The sequence below is a fragment of the Homo sapiens genome, chromosome 1 (assembly GCF_000001405.40).
Source record: "Homo sapiens chromosome 1, GRCh38.p14 Primary Assembly".
Classification (NCBI taxonomy): Eukaryota; Metazoa; Chordata; class Mammalia; order Primates; family Hominidae; genus Homo; species Homo sapiens.
In genome coordinates this window covers 39,246,423-39,267,656 of record NC_000001.11, presented here as the reverse complement: position 1 = coordinate 39,267,656, position 21,234 = coordinate 39,246,423, and the positions used below count along the sequence as shown (strand labels likewise).

General features: G+C 40.8%; 1 protein-coding gene across 2 annotated transcripts in view; it reads right to left on the bottom strand.

The window, feature by feature from the left end:
• The window catches only part of MACF1 (microtubule actin crosslinking factor 1), a 402,972-nt gene that overhangs the window by 219,482 nt on the left and 162,256 nt on the right, over positions 1–21,234 (bottom strand). Inside the window, exons 3-6 of one of the 2 annotated variants that reach the window (NM_001394062.1) lie at positions 17,554–17,643; positions 15,716–15,811; positions 13,282–13,359; positions 9,629–9,721 (exon numbers count right to left, since the gene is read on the bottom strand). In NM_001394062.1, the coding sequence (NP_001380991.1) occupies positions 9,629–9,721; positions 13,282–13,359; positions 15,716–15,811; positions 17,554–17,643 (357 nt within the window). The remainder of the gene's footprint in view (positions 1–9,628; positions 9,722–13,281; positions 13,360–15,715; positions 15,812–17,553; positions 17,644–21,234) is intronic. The other variant, NM_012090.5, reaches the window with a different exon arrangement.

The window sequence follows — 21,234 nt, the reverse complement described above, 5'->3', positions numbered from 1 at the left end:
CACTTGCTGTGTGCCAAGCACTGTGTAAAGTTATTTACATGGACTTTCTCATTTAATTCTTACAGTCACTATATGAGGTCAAAACTATTATTTTATATTTTATCGGTAAAGAAACTGAGGTTTGGCCAGGCGCAGTGGCTCACGCCTATTATAATCCTAGTACTCTAGAAGGCCAAGGCAGGCGGATTGCCTGAGCTCAGGAGTTTAAGACCAGCCTGGGCAACATGGTGAAACCCCGTCTCTACTAAAATACAAAAAATTAGCTGGGCACAGTGGCATGCGCCCTTAGTCCCAGCTATTCAGGAGGCTGAGGCATGAGAATTGCTTGAACTGGGAGGTGGAGGTTGCAGTGAGCCAAGATCATGTCACTGCACTCCAGCCTGGCCAACAGAACAAGACTCTGTCTCCAAAAAAGAAAAAAGAAACTGAGGTTTAAGAAAGTTGATTAATAGCCCTAGGTTACACAGCTAGTAAGTGACAAAGCCAGAACATGAACTTCTGTTAACTTTAAGACTTTTAATTTCAACCCCAACTACTCTCTTCTAACTACTGCAGTAGTGGAAATCTGTACTCAGTTGCCAGTTGTGTAAAATAAGAAGTTCCCCCACTGTTCTGAATTGGTAATTAGACTGCATGGACCAAGAGCTCAATCAAAGAGATAACACTTGTTGCCATTTGGGAGTAAGAGAAGAAGCTGCCAAAAAGAGGTTCAGGTGGTTTTTACTCCCATTGCAGTAGGGCAGGAAGTCTGAATTTCAGACTGTAAAAGTCGGATTCAAAAATCACCTTGTGATGTCAGTGAAGATTCCTCCACCCCAATTTTTTTTAGTATAGTATCTGCTATATGGGAAAAGACTATAACCCAAAGGGCTGTGAATGGAGAATAAAATTATATATGTGTTTCTTTCCTATTGCAGTTATTTATTCTACAACAAAAGGATCCAGGCCACACAGCAGAAAGCAGTAGCCTGCCTGGTTCCATGCAAGCCATAAAGACTTACACTAGCATAGCCTTAACTATCTTTCCTGGAGACCTGAAAAAAAAAAAAAAAAAAAAAAAAAGGAAAAGACCACAAAAGGAAAGCAACAAGAAGCCCTAAAGCAACGGCTTTTACACAATCCCTTCTAAGACCCTCCTGATGTCCCATCTGCCTCACAACTGCAGTAGGTGTTCTTCCCCTAAGCCTTATCCTTAAGGCTGACTGCAAAACTGCAGCACCATCTTATGGCCATCACAAACTATAGTAAGAAATAAGCAGAGAGCATGGGAGAGAAACTCATGCTACTGCAAATCATTTAATTAACAAAGAATCTGACATTACAATATGAAGTTCTCTAGGCAGGTACCAGGCCTTCACTCCTCCAGTGAAGAAACCTGGAACTATGGGAACTTTAAGATGCACTTGAATTTTATGAATGACATACAAGCAAACCAAAATCCTGAAACTAATAAACTTAGAGGCAAGAGAAATAGCTGCTTAATATGACTACTACTGCTGTAGAGTTTCTCTGAGAATTTACTTCTGTGAGCCTATTCTTTTTTTAAAATTTCTGCATATGTCAGACCAATCAGACCTTCATTTCCTTCTGCTCCAGAGAAAAACTGGTCTAGGGAAGGAGCAGAGATTTCAGTAAGGTGGACCTAGGTTCAACTTCCCAGCTCATAAGTTAAGTAACCTAACTAGTTTATTAGATGGTTCAGTTTCCTTACTTGTAAAATGTGCATACTACCACCTACTTACTGGGATTGTAGACAAGGTTAATGAGATAATGTCCATAAAGTACTTGGCTCAGTACTTGACCTACAGTAAATTTCTTTTCTTCCCATTTATTACTGGAACTAAAAGTTATGAGACATCCCCAGCCCCCGGGGGGATCCTAAGATATAGATGGTCCCTGACTTAAAATGGTCCAGCTTATTTTTCGACTTTCCAGTGGTGAGAAATCCATATGCATTCAGTAGAAACTGTACTTCAAGTACTCACACAACCATTCCGTTTTTCACTTTCAGTACAGCACTCAATAAATTACATGAGCTAGTCAACACTTTACTATCAAACAGGCTTTGTGTTACATGATTTTGGCCAAATGCTCAACGGTTAGCTAATATAAGTGTTCGGAATACATTTAAGATAGGCTAAACTATAGTTTTCAGTAGGTATATCAGATGTATTTTCAACTAAGTTAATTCTGATTACGAGACCTTTCCCCAAGACCTTTTCTCATCTAACCTGGTCTCTTAACACAAGACTTGCTGCCTTCTGGGAAAGCACACTTTGAGGCCTATACATTCTTTATGCCTTCTCCTTTGGCTTTTTGTAGATAACTGTTTACTGCCCACAGGTCTCCCACAGAGACAGCCAGAGTGAAAGACTCCAAAGCAAAAGAACTCATTCATTCATTCATTCCAAAAACACAAATGGTGCCTCATCTATATGCCAAGCACCAAGTGCCATAAAGTGCACAAAACTGTAAACCTCAAGTCTAGCCAGCTAAGACCTCCCATTTTTTGAAAATTTCAAAATGCTAGGCATACACTAGTATTTAACAAACATTTGAGGGTTGGAAAACTAGTTTTGTCAGATTCTGCCTATAAAGAGTTTATAGTATCTTTTAGAAGAACTATAAATCTTAACCTATACCTTAAAACAAGCTTGGACAAAGCCAAAAGACAAGAAATCCTGGCCGGGCGCGGTGGCTCACGCCTGTAATCCCAGCACTTTGGGAGGCCGAGGCGGGTGGATCATGAGGTCAGGAGATCGAGACCATCCTGGCTAACAAGGTGAAACCCCGTCTCTACTAAAAAATACAAAAAATTAGCCGGGCGCGGTGGCGGGCGCCTGTAGTCCCAGCTACTGGGGAGGCTGAGGCAGGAGAATGGCGTGAACCCGGGAAGCGGAGCTTGCAGTGAGCCGAGATTGTGCCACTGCAGTCCGCAGTCCGGCCTGGGCGACAGAGCGAGACTCCGTCTCAAAAAAAAAAAAAAAAAAAAAAGAAATCCTATCTGGGTGTGTAACCCAAAAAAGTCAGTCGGTCTCTGTGTTTCAGTTTCCTTATCTGAGAAATGGGCATAAGAAAACAGACATTACAGCCTATTTATTTGGTCTACCTACTCCAAAGCTTTGAGAAGATCAAATTCATGAAACAATCCATTCATTTAATAAATATTTACTGACTGCCTATTCTATGCCAGGCAAAGAAAAGAACAAGAGACAAAAATCCCTGCCATTGTTAAGCTTACATACTAATGCAGGCATCCAGGCAGCAAATAAACAAGTAAACATGTAATATGTCAAATAGTAGTAAATGTTACCCAATACAATACTGTAAGTCATACAGTACCTTTGAGAGCAATTTGGCAAAATATAGGCAAACTGAAGGAAAGTATATAACCCAGCAATTCCAGTCCAGGTATCAATCCCAAAACCCTCTTTGCTATAGGCACAAGGATGCATATACACAGATGTTCACTGTAGCAATGAATGTTTTATTCATACAATTAAATAATACGTTACAAATAATAGATGTGTTACACAGCTGCAGGGGTCACCACTTACATTAAATTAGTTAAAATGAACAAATCATGCTGGGCACAGTGGCTCATGCCTGTAATCCCAGTACTTTGGGAGGCTGAGGTGGGCGGATCATGAGGTCAGAAGATCAAGACCATCCTGGCTAACACGGTGAAACCCCATCTCTACTAAAAATACAAAAAATTAGCCGGGTGTGGTGGCGGGCGCCTGTAGCCCCAGCTACTCGGGAGGCTGAGGCAGAAGAATGGCATGAACCTGGGAGGTGGAGCTTGCAGTGAGCTGAAATCGCGCCACTGCACTCCAGCCTGGGTGACAGAGTGAGACTCCGTCTCAAAAAAAAAAAAAAAAAAAAGAAAAAAGAAAAAAGATGAAAGAAAGGATATACCAAAGATACTATGTGTGTCAAATATAAAGACATACAAGCAACAGTACATATTGTTTATGAATAGATCATCTGCTGTAAATGTACAAAAGCATGTATGGGAATGATACACATCAACTTTAGGATAATATTTACCTGGGGAGCAGAGAGGGCAAAGAAAGTTGGATGTATCTGAGATGTTTTATTACTTTAAAGAGGAAGAGAGAGAAAAAACCCTGAAGCAAATATAACAAAAGGAACACCTGTTAAATTCTGAAGGCAACTACACACATAAGGATCTGTTATATACTCTTCCGAGTATTTGAGATTTTCAAAACTAAAAACTCAAATTAAAATTAAAAAGAACATCTACCATTTAGCACATTAAAAAAAATGTGTTAAAGCATTTTAGAAACCATAAACCTCTGCATGAAGTTATCAATATTACCAGCCTCATCAGCAGTCACAAATCTTTAATCTGGATCCAGCCTCTCCCTTCTCCTTCAACTGAATATTCCCTTGAGGTGAAAACTACCATCCATGTCTACAGGTACATCATTATTCTACTTCATTAACACCAATAACACAGACTGACCATAATAACAATTTTGCTGATTCCCTAACATGTAACAGTTCTACTCTGCATTTCCATTTGGCTTTACATAGCATATGTTCTTGGTGAGAACAGCTAATAGATACTCAATAATGAAAGACTAGAAAACCACAATGACAGATAACTAGCAAAAGACATACCATGCCAAATCTGATGCAAGACGAGGCGGGGGGTGGGGGGGCACTCCACATGATCCTTCAGTAGTCAATCAAAAGCTTCACAAGCAGAGAACCTTTCCCCACACACCAGAACACTTAGCTAGTATAGGCAAATACCAAGCCCTCAGAACGGCAAAGAAAAGGAATCCATAGTTAAAACTGAGAAAATATTCTGGGAGCGGTGCTCCCACCTACAAGAAGACAAATAAATAGGCATTTGGCTGTGCTGAAATAACAGAGAAAAGCAGGCAGCCAATATGCATGCAGAAGACAGACTAGGCCAAAGCTGCTATTACCTTTCTGTAAAATTGGTAACAGGAAAAAGAACAGTGGGCTGTGTCAAAAGCCCTGGAAGTTATAAGGTCAATTAATAATTATAATAAGTTGTTACTAGTAACTGCTGCCCACTGTTGAGTTCATACTGTGTTCCATCATCCTAACCCATACCTCTCTCATTCTCTAAACCTCTGTCAAGTTATTTTATGGTATGTCTGTTCTCACTCTCCTAAACAATAAGAGTCCAACTAGATGGTCTGTATCTAGTTCAATTTTGTATCTTCTGTAGTAGATTCTTTTTTTTTTTTTTTTTTTTTTGTGATGGAGTCTCGTGTAGCCCAGGCTGGAGTGCAGTGGCACAATTTCAGCTCACTGCAGCCTCCACCTCCCGGGTTCAAGTGATTCTCATGCTTTGCAGCCTCCCAAGTAGGTGGGACTACAGTGCGCCAACACACCTGGCTAATTTTTGTATTTTTAGTAGAGATGGGGTTTTACCATGTTAGCCAGGCTGGTCTTGAACTCCTGACCTCAAGTGATCTGCCCACCTAGGCCTCCCGAAGTGCTGGGATTACAGGTGTGAGCCATTGCACTCAGCCGTGTATCTTCCATACACTCTATCTAAGACCTTGCTCATAACATTCCCAGTCAATGTTTGTGGAATTCAATTAAATAATACATTTTCCTGCAAACTAAAACCACAAAGAGATACAATTTCACACTCACTGTGATAGCTATAATCTAAAACAGACAATAAATACTGGTGAGGATGTAAAGACACAGGAAACCACATACATTGCTGGTAGGAATGTAAAATGATACACCATTTTGCAAGACAATTTGGCAGTTTCTTTAAAAGCTAAACATGCTTACTGTACAATTAAGAAATCCCATTCCTAGGTATATACATGTATACACAAGAGAAATGAAAACATAAACCCACACAGACTGGTATGCAAATAACTTTATTTATAACAGTGAAAAAGTGAAAACCACTCAAATGTCTATCAACTGGCTTAATATTTAAACAAAATACATGATATATCCATACAACAGAATATTCAGCAATAAAAAAGAATGACGTACTGATATGTGCCACAACATGGATGAACCAAAAAATATTATGTTAAGTGAAAAAAGCCAGATACAAAAGACCATCTATCATAGGATTCCATTTATATGAAATGTCCAGAATAAGCAAATCTATCAAGATAGAAAATAAATTAGTGGCTGCCTGAGGCTGGTGATGAAAATGTGCAGTAACTGTAAATGAACAAGAAGGATCTTATTTGGATGATGAAAATGTCCCCAAACTAGATTATGGTGATGATTGTACAACTCATAAAAATCATTAAATTAGTTGATTTGATGGTATGTAAATTACACCTCAGTAAAGTTTTTTTTATGAATGCATTTTCCTAAAATAAACAAACAATAGAAATTATAACCAAAAAGGTGTTTTAAAACATTTAGCTAACTACAGAGAATGGGAAGATACAGAATGGAGGGAGCAGAGATGGAAGCTAGACCTCTCTGAACACAATTTGTATTTAACTTTTTAAAATTTCCCTTTGGAACAATATAAATGATCTACATAATGTAAGGTAAAATTGAAAGGAAAAAAGCAACCCCCCAAAACTGAAAGCAAATAAAAACAAATGAACCTTAATTGTGTATTGAATTTGTGGCTTAACAACAATAGAGAGAAATTATTTCAAGTGACTTCAAAGTAATCATACTGCTAACAATAACATTCATATTGTCACTTGGATTCATATATATTACAAATAATATATATGATTTTACAGATCTCTGTGTGTGTAGGAAAAGAGTAAGTAACCACATTACTGTTGTTAAGATCAAGATTTTCAGTATAAGAAAAAAAATGATATAAAGTCAAAGAGGTTAAACAAAACCCTGCAATCCTAAATTTGAATTAGAAATATCAGTAAAAATTCATGGGGTTTTTTGTTTGTTTGTTGTTGTTGTTGTTGTTTTTAGAGATAATACAAGTATTGCCTAGCTCTGCCCACAGAAAAAGCCTAGAAATGATGGGCAACCAGCCGCGTGTGGTGGCTCACGCCTGTAATCCCAGCACTTTGAGAAGCTGAGGCAGGTGGATCACCTGAGGTCAGGAGCTCGAGACCAGCCTGGCCAACAACCCTGTCTCTACTAATAATAAAAAAATTAGCTGAGCGTGGTGGCACACGCCTGTAATCCCAGCTACTTGGGAGGCTGAGGCAGGAGAATCGCTTGAACCTGGGAGGCAGAGGTTTTGGTAAGCCGAGATGGTGCCATTGCACTCCAGCCTGTGCAACAAGAGCGAAATCTGCTTCAAAAAAAAAAAAAAAGAAAAGAAAAAGAAAGAAATAATGGGCAACCTAGGAGCATTCAGACTGTGGTCAATAAATAGAGAACCAGTTCCTAGGGGAGATTAAGAATTTCAGGCCTGGGACAGAAAATATAAAAAAAGAGTCTGGAATACCTCATCGCACAAGAAATAAAGGAAATTATCAAAGACCACTGTGGTCATGCCAAAGGACTCAGAGTCAACTTGAAAGCCTCTTTACAGCCAAAGATGGAGCTATTTGATTTTATTAAAAAGAATAATAACTGTATTTGATTGGAACATTAAGTCTGCTTAAAAATCCACAAGTCACAGTGATACTAAAAAAAAAATGGTGAACAAAGGAACTATTATTGGTCACCTTTGGAGAATCTTAGCGAACCAACTAATTATTCTGAAAACTAGTAAACAGAAAGAAATGAAATTTTTAAATGCTTCAAGGAAATGTTTCTTCTGGCCGGGCACGGTGGCTCACGCCTGTAATCCAACACTTTGGGAGGCTGAGGCAGGTGGATCACCTGAGGTTGGAAGTTTGAGACCAGCCTGACCAACATGGAGAAACCCTGTACTAAAAATACAAAATTAGCCGGGTGTAGTGGTGCATGCCAGTAATCCCAGTTACTCGGAAGGCTGAAGCAGGAGAATCTCTTGAACCCGGGAGGCAGAGGTTGCGGTGAACGGAGATTGCACCATTGCACTCTAGCCCGGGCAACAAGAGCGAAATTCCGTCTCAAAAAACAAAAAAAGAAAGAAAGAAAAAGAAAAAGAAAAAAGAAAAGAAAATGTTTTCTCTATTTAAACATTTGTTATGGCCTGGTACGGTGGCTCACGCCTGTAATCCCAACACTTTGGGAGACCGAGGTGGGTGGATCACCTGAGAGCAGGAGTTCGAGACTAGCCTGGCCAACATGGTGAAACTCTATCTCTACTAAAAACATATAAATTAGCCAGGCATGTTGGCAGGTGCCTGTAATCCCAGCTACTTGGGAGGCTGAGGCAGGAGAATCTCTTGAACCCAGGAGGCGGAGGTTGCAGTGAGCCAAGAACACATCATTGCAATCCAAGAGCAAAACTCGGTCAAAAAAAAAGGAAATTAATTTAGTTGTAGTAGTTGGGGTGAATAGAGACAGTGAATAAATTCTCCTTACCTCCCACCTATGAGACAAACATTGGGCACTCACAGTGAGGGCAGGTTTGTGACCAAAAAACAAACAAATTTCTCTAAAAGCTCCTCTGTTCATAAGAGTTCCAAAGGGATAACTGTAGTCCTCCATGAAAGCTCAACAAAGTTTCCCATCCTGCCAGACAGAGCACACCTACCAAGTTCATGTTCCTGGTTATCCCTATGCCCAAAGCTTGCCTGAGGATACCCTGTGGTTCCACAAAAATACATTACCACCACACAATCCTAGCCCTGTCCATGCTGGTGACTGCCAGCATTGCTTCCAAACTAGAGCCTCAAGAAACAAGCCTAAGCACTCAGATTTTTCTCTCAGGAATTCGGGGACACCTGTTGTTCTATCTTTAACCAGCAGGTAGCGCCAACTCCCCAGCTAGGATGTCACCTTGGCCTCATCCCTGAAGTCGGCACCCTGCCTTCTATTCCCACTAGCTATCAGCCTCTAATCCATCAGCCTCATGTGCAGCAACTGTGTATCAGAGAGAGCTGTCTGAGAAATAGCTTTGTTTGGCTGACCTAAAAGGGATGTAAAAGAACAGCCTTTTTATAAAAATAGGGCTGTACTTTTCCAATAGCAATTCAGATCTAAAAAGGATTTGCCTTCTTAGGAAGAGGAAGGCCATGTGACCATGTGAATATTCTTCAAGATGCTCTTGGGTGTGATGGCCGCTGCAAGGTTGTGCTTGCCAGCACATATACAAACCCAGATACTAAAGTATTCTAATTAACGAGGCTTGTTTAAAGGTTATTAGAGATGAGAAAAAGTCTACATTAGAGCAGGACTATGAACCTTCACTCCACCATTCTAAAGCATCAACACCAACAGCTTTTCTCAACCCTCATATTCTGAGTCCTTCAAGAGCCTCATTTTGATTCAGCTGAGCAAACAGACCTCTAATAACCAGACTGCTGAGGACAGGGCCAAACCACAAATGGGTAAAAAAATCCCTCCATTTAATTAAGCAAATAATTAGGAAGTTTTGCGTTTACGATACAACAGCTTGTCTGCAGATCAATCTTAATTTTCCTTTCCAACTCCCATCCACCTTTGTTCACTGACAAATAGAGAGAAGGAAGGCTCAATGCTGTCTGTGGAAGGCAGTGCAACTTTCTAGGCCATGTCCAAACAAAGCAACAGGAATTCCAAACTTCACATGCCCTACCTGGAAATGCAAAATAATGGTCCAGATCAGACCCAGGGTCAACTTGGGGTTGCCATCTGTGATGTCATCATTGCGAATATTCACTAGTTTCACCTGAAAAAGAAATAAAAGCACGGCTCAGAGCTCTAGGACTTTTTGTTTTGATTAAATTTTTGCATCACTTCATTATTGATTTACAGTTAAACTGATTTCTTTTTTGGTGTACAGTTCTATGAGTTTTAACACATGTATAGATTCATGCAACTACCACCACAAAACAGTTTCATCACCCCAAAAAGGTCCCTTGTGCTGGCCCCCTCCTTGTAATCAAACCCTACTCTCACCCCTAATTCCTGACAACCACTGATCTGATCCTGATTCCTTGTTTTGCTTTTTCCAGAGTGTTGGATAAATGGGATCATGCAGCATGCAAGATTTTGAAACTGCCGGCCAGACGCGATGGCTCACGCCTGTAATCCCAGCACTTTGGGAGGCTGAGACAGGCGGATCACGAGGTCAGGAGATCGAGACCATCCTGGCTAACACGGTGAAACCCCGTCTCTGCTAAAAATACAAAAAATTAGCCGGGCATGGTGGCGGGTGCCTGTAGTCCCAGCTACTCAGTAGGCTGAGGCAGGAGAATGGCGTGAACCTGGGAGGTAGAGCTTGCAGTGAGCAGAGATTGTGCCACTGCACTCCAGCCTGGGCGACAGAGTGAGACTCCGTCTCAAAAAAAAAGAAACTGTCTTTTTATTTCACTCGGCATAATGCCCTTGAGATCCCTATCCAAGCTGTTGCATGAATCAACAGTTTGCTCCTTTTGATCGCTGAGTAGTATTCCATTATAGAGATATGCTACTCTTTGTTCACCCATTCATCCATCGAAGGATATGTGAATTATTTCTAGATTTTGGCAATTATGAATATTCATGTGCAGGTTTTTGTGTGAGCACAGTAATTTCTTTAGGGTATATTCCTAGGAGTGGGATTGCTGGGTTATATGATATATGATTAGCTTTATAAGAAGTCATCAGAGTAGCTACGCCATTTTGCTTTCTCACCAGAAAAGCAACCTCGCAAGCACAAGGTATTGTGGGTCACTTTTTTATTGCCATCAGGGCCAAGATTTCTTTCTTCTTTGCCTTTTTTTTTTTTTTCTTAAGGTTCTGAGAGAGAAAGACAGAAAAGAGAGATGCCTCTCTTCCCTCACCAGTCTTTGGCCTGCTCTCACCTCCATTATCCCATCTTTGTCACAGATATCCATACCTGCCATGCCTCCCGCAGCACCTGCTTTACTCCTAAAATCTCATCCCAACAACTCAATGTGCCCTGACACACCCTCTTCCCAGGCTGACTTACTGCCCCAGTGTGCTGGGAACGGAGGAATTTCCTGGGACGTGGAACTTTAAAACTGGGAGTGTCCTGGGCAAACCACCCTACTTCTACTTCACCTCTGTTAGCCTCCTCAATCATACCCTCAGAGTCCTGCGACACAGTGTCCTTCAGCTGTCCTCCCTTTATCTCTTCTACTGAACTGAAACTTGTGTGTCTCCAGAGGACCCTAGTGACCTTCTCAAATGGAGGCCTCATTTCTCCCTTACAATGACATTCATCTGGGCAAGTTCTTTCCCTTTTCTGTATCTTGGTCTCCTCTTCTATACGGTGGGAGTAGGATGCAAGTGGGAAAACCTGTCCCCTCCCCGAGAATTCAATTTTTCTAATCACTAACAGTTGACAGTTGGTGGGTTACCAGTACCAGCCAAGTCCACATTCCTCAGTCCTACCTCTGTCAGCCTTCCCCTTTCATTGTGAAGTCTACCTCCCTTGGCCAAACCACCTTCCAATCTCTGCTAACCTTTTTCTCAATGACCTCACTACCTAGCTCCTATTCTCTTTTCCTGCCTCATCATCACCTTTCCTGGAAATTTAGCATTTATATTGATATCCCAAATATTACACTATCTGCACAAATTGCCTGCCTTTTGAATTCTGATGACTTTCGTTTTTCCCTACCTTGGCCATCTGCACAGCTACATCTTGGACTTTACCGTTACCAAGAACGGCTCTAGTAATCTCCCTGCCCTTCTTTGAATCCACTGTTCTTACCTGTCCACGTTTTCATTCTATCATAGTAACCAAAGCCACTTTTTGTCCTGATTTAGACTTCTAGCTAATCAATTCTTCTCATAAACCCTGCCAGTAAGGCCCCCACCCCAGCTTCCTCTAGCTCCACACACAGGCATTTCAATGCTGCTTTCTCCAGTACCCTAAACACTTCAGCAACCTCCACTTCTACCACTTTTATTTATCAATTTATTTCAGCAAATATTTATTAAGTGCCAACTGAGGACCATTCATTATGAGAGATGAAGGTGAAATGTTAAGATCTTATTCCCCGTCCTCACGGAGCCTATAATGCATTGGAGCAAACAGAGAAATAACAAGAAAATAAGAAATGTTATACCAGAAGTAAATTGTTATGAGAGCAAACAGAGAATTTTAGAAGTTAATGAGAATTACTGATATGAGTGTCAAAAATGAACTGACTCCAAAAATATGCATACCATTTAATGTCACGTTGACCCTGTTGTTGCTTGGCAACCCTAGATATCCCAAATATTTTCCATATGGCTCACTCTAAGCAGATGAACTCTTTGACTCCCTCATCCATCTTCTTTCTACCACAAACCATCTCTGTATCTTCACCCCTCCCTCTGTCATTCTCCTTGTCTCTCAAAAGAGGTATTTTTCTTTTCTTTTTCAAAGATGGCCACACCACTTGTGCTCTGCTTCTCATCCATCAATCCCTGGATTTGGTTCCTTCAGTTAGGAAGCAAAGGAGGAAGGGTGCTGTGTAGAAAGCAGCATGGATAGTGGAAGGTGCACTAAACTGCATGTCAGAAGGCCTGAGTTAAAGTCTCAGCTTTGCTCTGACTTGTGATTTGAGGCAGGTCATTTACCTGTCCAGGTCTCAGTTTCTTTATCTATAATAAGAAACTGGACTAGTACAACATTAGGGTATCTTCTCGGTGAAACGTTCTATGACTACCAATACTCCTCCTCATGCTCATTTTCATTCTTACTCTCTTCATTGGCTCCTCTTCCTATGTCTAAAAATGGGTTGTTGTCTTCCTCATCCAGGGAAGGAAAAGCTTCTTTCTCCCTTCCTATATCTAGCTCTACTATACTCTAAATATCTTTCTCCTGTATTAAACTGCTCACTTAAGTTATCAGTGCTTAACAACTTAGACCTTTTTCTCAGATCTGATGTGGCATTCCACAATCCACACTACCCCCTTATCTCATTTTCACCTTGATATAGCAATCTGGTTCTCTCTCTTCCTGGATGCCACACCTTTTTTCCATCTCTTTTCTAGTTTATTTTTCATCTTCATTTTGACCCCCACCTAAGGTGCATCCACAAAATTCCATCTTTATCATCATGTTCTTCTCCGTGAACATTCTTCCTCTCAAGGAGGTCACAAGTTCTGTGTGAGTACTGAATGATTTCTCTAACCAGAATACAATTGCTCACTAGCAAGTTAAGACTCAGAACTGGGTCAATCAGATTTAGCATTTACTGAGAGCTTACTAGGGGCACTAAAAACATCTCTGAATAGGGCCCCAATGCCAACACAGCCTGGAAGAATGGGGAAGGCATGTGATGGTCTTACCTGTCGCTGCTTTAGGAAGTCCAGGGCAATCTGCACATTCTGCAGCCTATGAAAACGCATCCTGCCCTTCTCCCGGGGCTGCAAACAAACAAAAAAAGGGATGTTAATTCTGGCTACACAATTTAACCATACAGACCCTTTCTCTTTTATTTCCAGGACTAAAGGACCACACAAGAATTCCTTACAGTAGAAGCCAGGCCTGGGAGCATTACACAAAGCACCCCCTAAGACCAGGCCTGTACGTGTTTCGACCAGGCTCTCTGAGGTCCCCAAATGTCTTGTGTACCACTACGCATCTCGCAAACACAGAATACTGTTTGACCACTAATGCCGAATCAATGCCACAGCTTCTGTTCAGGTTCATCTGCAGTCACATGTGGCAGAACTTGATTCTGGATGTGAGGTTAATGGGAACAGACTTTGGCTCTATGACTCCTAAAATCACAGTTAAATGCTATCGTAGAGAAAGGGTGGAAAGTCCTAATTACATATTGCATAGTAGTAGATGGAGCCAACTTTATTACAAACATGGCAAAAGGAGCTCAAGATAGCCAATTTTTGGCCAAGTGCAGTGGCTCACGCCTATAATTCCAACACTTTGGGAGGCCGAGGCAGGAGGATTGCTTGAGCCCAGGAGTTAGAGACAACCCTGACCAACATGGTGAAATCCCGTCCCTTCATTGGCTCCTCAAAAATTAGCCGGGCGTGGTGGCACATGCCTGTAATCACAGATATCTGGGAGGCTGAAGCACAAGAATAGCTTAAATCTAGGAGGTGGAAGTTGCAGTGAGCCAAGATCATGCCACCGTACACCAGCCTGGGAGATGGAGTGAGACTCCACCTCAAAAAAAAAAAAAAAAAAAAAATACAGATAGCTGATTTTTAACCATAGGAAATGAGAAGTTACATATGCTCAAGAAACAAGTGAAAAAATCCAAAATGGGAGGCAAAAATTAGGAAGCAACCAGTTTCCCAGGAACATAGCTGCCACTGAAGGAAGGGCACCCTTTACTCCAGCATGAAATACCCACAGCAAACAAAACTTTGATAGTGTAGGGCTGTCAACATAATTACTCCTGAGAAAGTTATGCCAGTCACTCAATCCCAGATGTCATACAACCCACTGGAGAGAACCCCATCTCTACCCAGTGCCTCTGGTACCCCGTCCAAGGCTCAACTATTACCAGTTGGAAAGTGAATGCAGTCTCTTTGCCTACTGAGTATCACAGAAAGGGATATCTACCCCTAGAACATTTTCTTCTGCTTACTTTCTAACGTTGCTTATATTTTACTAAAATTTGGAGAGAAATATCACTCTCACTAGATTATACCCACTTCTTTTGTAAGTGTCAAATTGACACTAATTAAAGGCTGATAAAATATAAGGTAGCTCTGTTGCGGGTGTCTGCAGAGAACAACATTGCTCCAAATTAAAATGGGCAAAAAGTACCCTAACACATGGAGAGATAAGGATGGAAGCATCTTCTGGGCACTCTCCAACACTTCTAAGCAACACTTCTCAAATAGGAGAATCTGTTCACAGAGATGTCAAGGCCTCTCTGGGCACAGGATAACTTCTTCAGTCAAAGGTTTAGGAAAAATCTTTTTAGCAAGAACCTTTTCTCAGTCATTTCAGCTAAATTAATTGTGAATATGGCTTAGAAGATGATAGTGCCTATAAAATGGAAGATTCTAAGGCAATGAGAAGGGAGACAAATGATATTTTTAAAATGATTTTAAGAGGACAGAGAATGAGGATATTGCCTAATCCTTGTTTCTGGAAAAAGATTTTGGACTATAATTTAGGGCCTGCAGGCAGAATACACTCCTCTTATACTCTAATCTTTACTCATATGTACCCCTCACCAAAAATAAATACCCTAAGAACATGCAAGTTAAATCTCTGTCCTCTATAGCAACTAGATATTATTGAGCAAAGCCAGAGTATCTCCATGCAGTGAGTTTGCAAACAGGCTGTTTTGAAAACAAATGACGGGGTGTATGATGATAACCTAGAGGCCAGAGAGGTGGAGAGTACCAGTTAGTCTAGACTGTGGAGTTGTGAGCAATTAATTGTCATGCTGTCAACTAAATTTTCCACAATTCTGCAATCTGGACTCAGAAAACACAGCAAGGCCACCAGAAAGCTATGGGTCTCCAGGTCAGAAGAGAACTTGACACCTCCAAAAACCATTATTCTTTTTGTGCCAACCCTTCTCAGCTAAGAAAAACAATTCCCAGTCCATGAGCACCTAACAGTGACAAAAGGCACAATTAGTTTTAACTACTTTCTTTGGGACCCAAATTCCCAGTTGAAATGAGAAGGTGGCAAATAGTAACTGAACTACTTCGAGACCTGGAGAACCTCAGACTCTGATGGCCCTGCAGTGCCAGCAGTGCCAGCTGGGATGCTGGCATCCCCAGGAGGACCTACTACATCATCATCATCTTCCTCCGCCTGCTCCTCGTTGTTTGTATGGCACCAGGAGGGCATGCTCACCAGACGGAGGGTCTTCAGCCCTGCTGGCTCCTTTGGCCACCAACCAAGGCAAAGACACAATAGAGGAACAAGAAATTCACAATAAAAAGATGGAAAGGAAATGAATGCAACACTTAAAAAAAAGGAAAAACAAATATGAAAATACCCTCCCACCTCCGAAAAAGATACAAAACTAAATCAAAACCAGAGCAGATGGTTACATTGAACACTTCTTATGATGAAACACATCTTCAATTCTCCTTAGCCTCCTACCCTCTCTGCTTTTCTAAGTCAACTATGGGGAAAAAACATGGTGAGAATAACTGTCAAAGAGATATCTGGATGGTTTTTGGTGAAGAGATGATATCCTATCAGTATCTCCACAAACACTTAAAGGTTTTCAAAGGTTAGGAAAAGAAATTAGATTGACATAGTTTCAACTTATTACGTAAGCAATACAACCAAAAAAGATCACTTTTCAATATAAAATCATTACAAATTCATTAAATGTACCAGACACATTGCCCAAAATGTAACTGTGTGAGTGGTGAAGAATAAAGTCCAGCACAATGAAAGTAAAATTCTGATTACTTATTAGACTTATAAACACGAGCCAGAGAGCAAGAACTAGAAATTAAATGTGCCGGCTATGCTAATAAAAGCTTCTGTCAATTTTAGGCCATTAAAAAATATATAATTAATTCTATTGCAAGGCAAAAAAAAAGATACGAAACCAAAACAAAGGACCCAGGGAAGCCAAGCCCCAATCCTAGAAGGAGCTGAATATCACTTAGGCAGTAAAATCAAATGTGCCAAATTCTGTTACTTAAACACAACAAACAATGACTAAGAAAGGCAGTGAGTGGGCTGGTCTTCACAGACTACTTGAGCTATACATCTCTTTGGTTCTCTATTTCTCCACAGATATTTCCAGTATTCAACCCTGGACTTTTCTAAATGAAAATTATGTTGTCTATGGCATGAGAGAAAGAGTATGAACCATATGGAATCACCTGCTCCCATTAGGCTCAAATATAGAAAACAGTAGGCCTACAAGTGGGTGATTTCCATCCCTCAAAGCAAGTAGAAGAACTATCATTTGGCAAGGCAAGAAGCTCAGACAGGATTTGCCCTCAGATATGTAGGTGTTTCCCATAATCAATGTTAGAACATTTTGGGAAGAAGCAGGCATATTAATTAATCAAGGAGCCCAGATGTTCTATATCCAAGGCTATGCTCAGACAACTTTGGCAGCTCTCCAAATCTGTAAGACTCAATGAATCACAGAAGGGAGAAAGTGAGATGATTTGGAAAAAAAAATAACTTCATACACCTGGGCTTTTAAATGTAAACTTCAGGTCTTTAGCTGAATACATAAAATTTTAAAAATTCACAATAGATTGGAAAATGAGAGGCGTCTATATAGACTAGAGCTCTAGGAAGAAAAATACACCTAATTCAAAAAAACCTTTAAACATGAATCTACTGTTTCTGAAATATTAGTATCTAGAAAATAAAGAAAAAGTAATGCAAAAACATGCAGATATAAAAAGGATTATAACTAATTTCTCATTTCATCAAGAAATGAGAACATATAATACATCAATTTAAATTATATAATTTGTAAATTCTAAGTCTGAGTTAGAAATAAAGTCCCCCAACATTTCCTTCTACTTCTTCCTCCCCTCTAATAGATGAAACAGTGATGGCTGCTGCCCTTGCACTCAATGAGATGGACCAATATGTCATTTGTAGGGCCACAATTGTGAGGCCATTCATTAGGAGAAGCTCACCAGTTTGATGCCTGAGAGGACCTCCAACAGAGAGATCAGGTTATGGCCATCCCGCAGATCTTCATAAAGATCATTGATGTGCTTGCGGACCTGTGAATGAGAGTGAAACAGACAGATTTTTATTTGATATTGAATTATTATACTATCCACATAAAAATCTCTGGTTCTAGGTAAACACAAATTAAAGAATTTAAAAGTGGAAGCAACAATTAAATAATAAAATTCAGGAAGTTTCAGATTGGAATAAAATACATGTGAAATGATAATACTTTACCAGAAACGTGTGTGTTTTTTAAATTGATGCCAGATCTATTACACACTCTAACCAACATGCAACAACGTCCTAGAAAGTTTGGACAAGAAGATGGGGAGTCTTAATTATCCTGAGACATCTTAGGAGTTACTATGAGCCAAAATGTAATAGCATGGCGAATGATGGGTAGATGAGTCCAGCCAGAGTCAGAAAAGCCTTCTAGAGTGCTGCAAAGGAAACTAAATGCTAGGCACCCAGTGTTTCCTGGGGTGTATTTCCAATTTAACCCTTCTCTTACACCAAATATTTCTAATAGCGAATTTCAGAATAATTTTCTTTGTGGGAAATTCCAATTAACTTTAAAATTGGAACTATGGAAAAACAGATCTCACTTTGGGAGAAAGTGTGGTTAATATCAAACATGGTACTAAATGTTTAATATGTTATCTATCTCTCACATCTCTAAGGTAAGTAGTATTATTATTTCTATTTTACACATGAGGAAATAAGGCACAAAGAGGTTAAGTAAATTGCCCAAGGTCACCAAGTGGAAAAACCGGCCTCAGTTTCATCTGATTTTAGTCTTTGCCATTAACTACTATGCTTTATAATCAGCCATCATCTCATTCTATTTATTTAATCCAAACAATTACCTTGTGAAGTTTACTTATTACCACCATTCCATCAAAGAAACCAAGGAAGCTGAGGTTCTGAGATGTTATGGTCACTTAGCTATAAGTTAAGTGGCAATTGGATTTCTGATTCAGTCCCAGTCTAGTGACGACTTCATTAAGTGATACTCATTGCCAGGTGCAGTGGCTTCTGCCTGCAATCCCAGTACTTTAGGAGGCCAAGGCAGGAGGATCCCTTGACCCTAGGAGTTTGAGATAAGCCTAGGAGTTCGAGATCAGCCTGGGCAATGTGGGGAGACCCCCTTCTCTACAAAACAAAAAAAAAAGCCAGGCATGGTGGTATATGCTTATGGTCCCAGCTACTCAGGAGGCTGAGGTGGGAGGATCACTTGAGCCCAGGAAATCAAGGCTGCAAGTGAGCTATGATCACACCACCATACTCCAGCATAGGCGACAGAACAAGACTCTGTCTCGAAAAAAAAGGTGATGTTCACAACACAGAATGGGAAGACTTGTGAAAATTATAAGGAAGATTGATTTTTAATATATTAATTTTCCAGACAACGCTAGAAAGGGCTACTTTCAGAAGTAGTAGAATTTTAGTTACTATAATTTTGAGTAGAGGCTGGGGATTTGGGGATTTTTACATTTGAGTGGAAAACTGAAGTCCTTTCCAATTATAATATTCAAAGTAGCTCTGAAAGTAGAGCAGGAGGCCAGGTGCAATGGCTCACACCTGTAATACCAGTGCTTTGGGAGGCTGAGACAGGAGGACTGCTTTAGCCCAGGAGTTTAAGGCTCAAGGCTGCAGTAAGGTATCATTGCACCAATGCACTCCAGCCTGAGTGACAAACCAAGACCCTTTTGTAATGAGGGGTTTCTTTTTTAACCCTGTCTGAAAAAAATAATAAAAAAAAAGAAAGTAGGATAAGAATGGAAACTGGACAAGATAAAGAATGGAAACATACGTAAAGACTTCCTCGAAGAAACGGGACTTGGAGGATTAGCAAATGTTTTAGTAGAAAGAAGACGGAAAAACCACATAAGACTTGGCATAGAGATGGACATATGCAAGGTATGTGTGTATGTATGTGTGTAAAGAAATAAGAAGGTGACAGGTACGTTATACAACTGGGGAAGATGGTTCATGATGAACTGGAAAATAGCTTTAAAAACTGAAAGAATATATACATTTTTTGAGACAGAGTCTTGCTCTGTCACTAGGCTGGAGTGCAGTGGCACAATCTTGGCTCACGGCAACCTCTGCCTCCCGAGTTCAAGTGATTCTCCTGCCTCAGCCTCCCGAGTAGCTGGGATTACAGGTGCGCACCACCACAATCAGCTAATTTTTGTATTTTTAGTAGAGACGGGGTTTCACCATGTTGGCCTCAATCTCCCGACCTTGTGATCCACCCGCCTCAGCCTCCCCAAGTGCTGGGATTACAGGCGTGAGCCACCACACCCGGCCCACACTTTTAAATTTAATCTGCAATATTAACATTTTCCCCATCACTTTCTTAAGTCTAAACAATAAACAAAACAAGACATCTAACTCAAACTTGTAGAATTTGCTGATTTCCATGATGTAAATATTCCCAATACAACCAATTTCAAGCTACTAATATAATATCACTAAATGCAATGTTGGGAAGAAATATACAGTAGCACACCATTATGTACAGTATTTCCATCACAGAGACACAACAGACATAACCTCAAGAGTACAGACAATACTAACATGCAGCAAAACAATTATGAAATGAACAGCTTTGAGGATGTATTACATTTACTTTAAATATAATTTATTTAATTGTATGTTTACATAATTTAATTTTTAATAATAGCTGTGGCTGGGCGCAGTGGCTCACACCTGTAATCCCAGCACTTTGGGAGGCCGAGACGGGCGGATCACGAGGTCAGGAGATCGAGACCATCCTGGCTAACACAGTGAAACCCCGTCTCTACTAAAAATACAAAAATTAGCCGGGCATGGTGGCGCGCGCCTGTAGTCCCAGCTACACGGGAGGCTGAGGCAGGAGAATGGCGTGAACTCGGGAGGCGGAGCTTGCAGTGAGTCGAGATCGCGCCACTGCACTCCAGCCTGGGCAACAGAGCGAAACTCCGTCTCAAAAAAAAAAAAAAAAAAAAAATTAGCCGGGCATGGTGGTATGCACCTGTAATCCCAGCTACTCGAGAGGCTGAGACAGGAGAATCCCTTGAACCTCAGAGACAGAGGTTGCAGTGAGCCAAGATCACACCATTGCACTCCAGCTTGGGCAACAGAGCAAGACTGTCTCAAAAAAAAAAAAAAGCTATGTTTAGCAACCAGCTCACAAAATTGCTGAAAATTTAACACTTGGCTCTCATGAGTCCATAAGCTGGCTCCAGCATACCAGGGGCTCCAAGATTTCAAAACCCCTCCCTCTCACACCTGTAATCTCAGCACTTTGGGAGCCTGAGGTGGGTGGATCACCTGAGGTCAGGAGTTCGAGACCAGTCTGGCCAATATGGTGAAACCCCGTGTCTACTAAAAATACAAAAAATTAGCCGGGTGTGGTCGTGGGCGCCTGTAATTCCAGCTACTCAGAAGGCTGAGGCAGGAGAATCGCTTGAACCCGGAAGGCAGAGGTTGCAGTGAGCCAAGATCACACCATTGTACTCCAGCCCGGGCAACAGGAGTGAAACTTTGTCTCAAAAACAAAAACAAAAACCCCTCCCTCAAATAGACCCAAGGTTTCAAGTTTGCAGTGTGGAACAACAGTAGTGGACCATTAACAGAAATAGGCAGGTCATAAG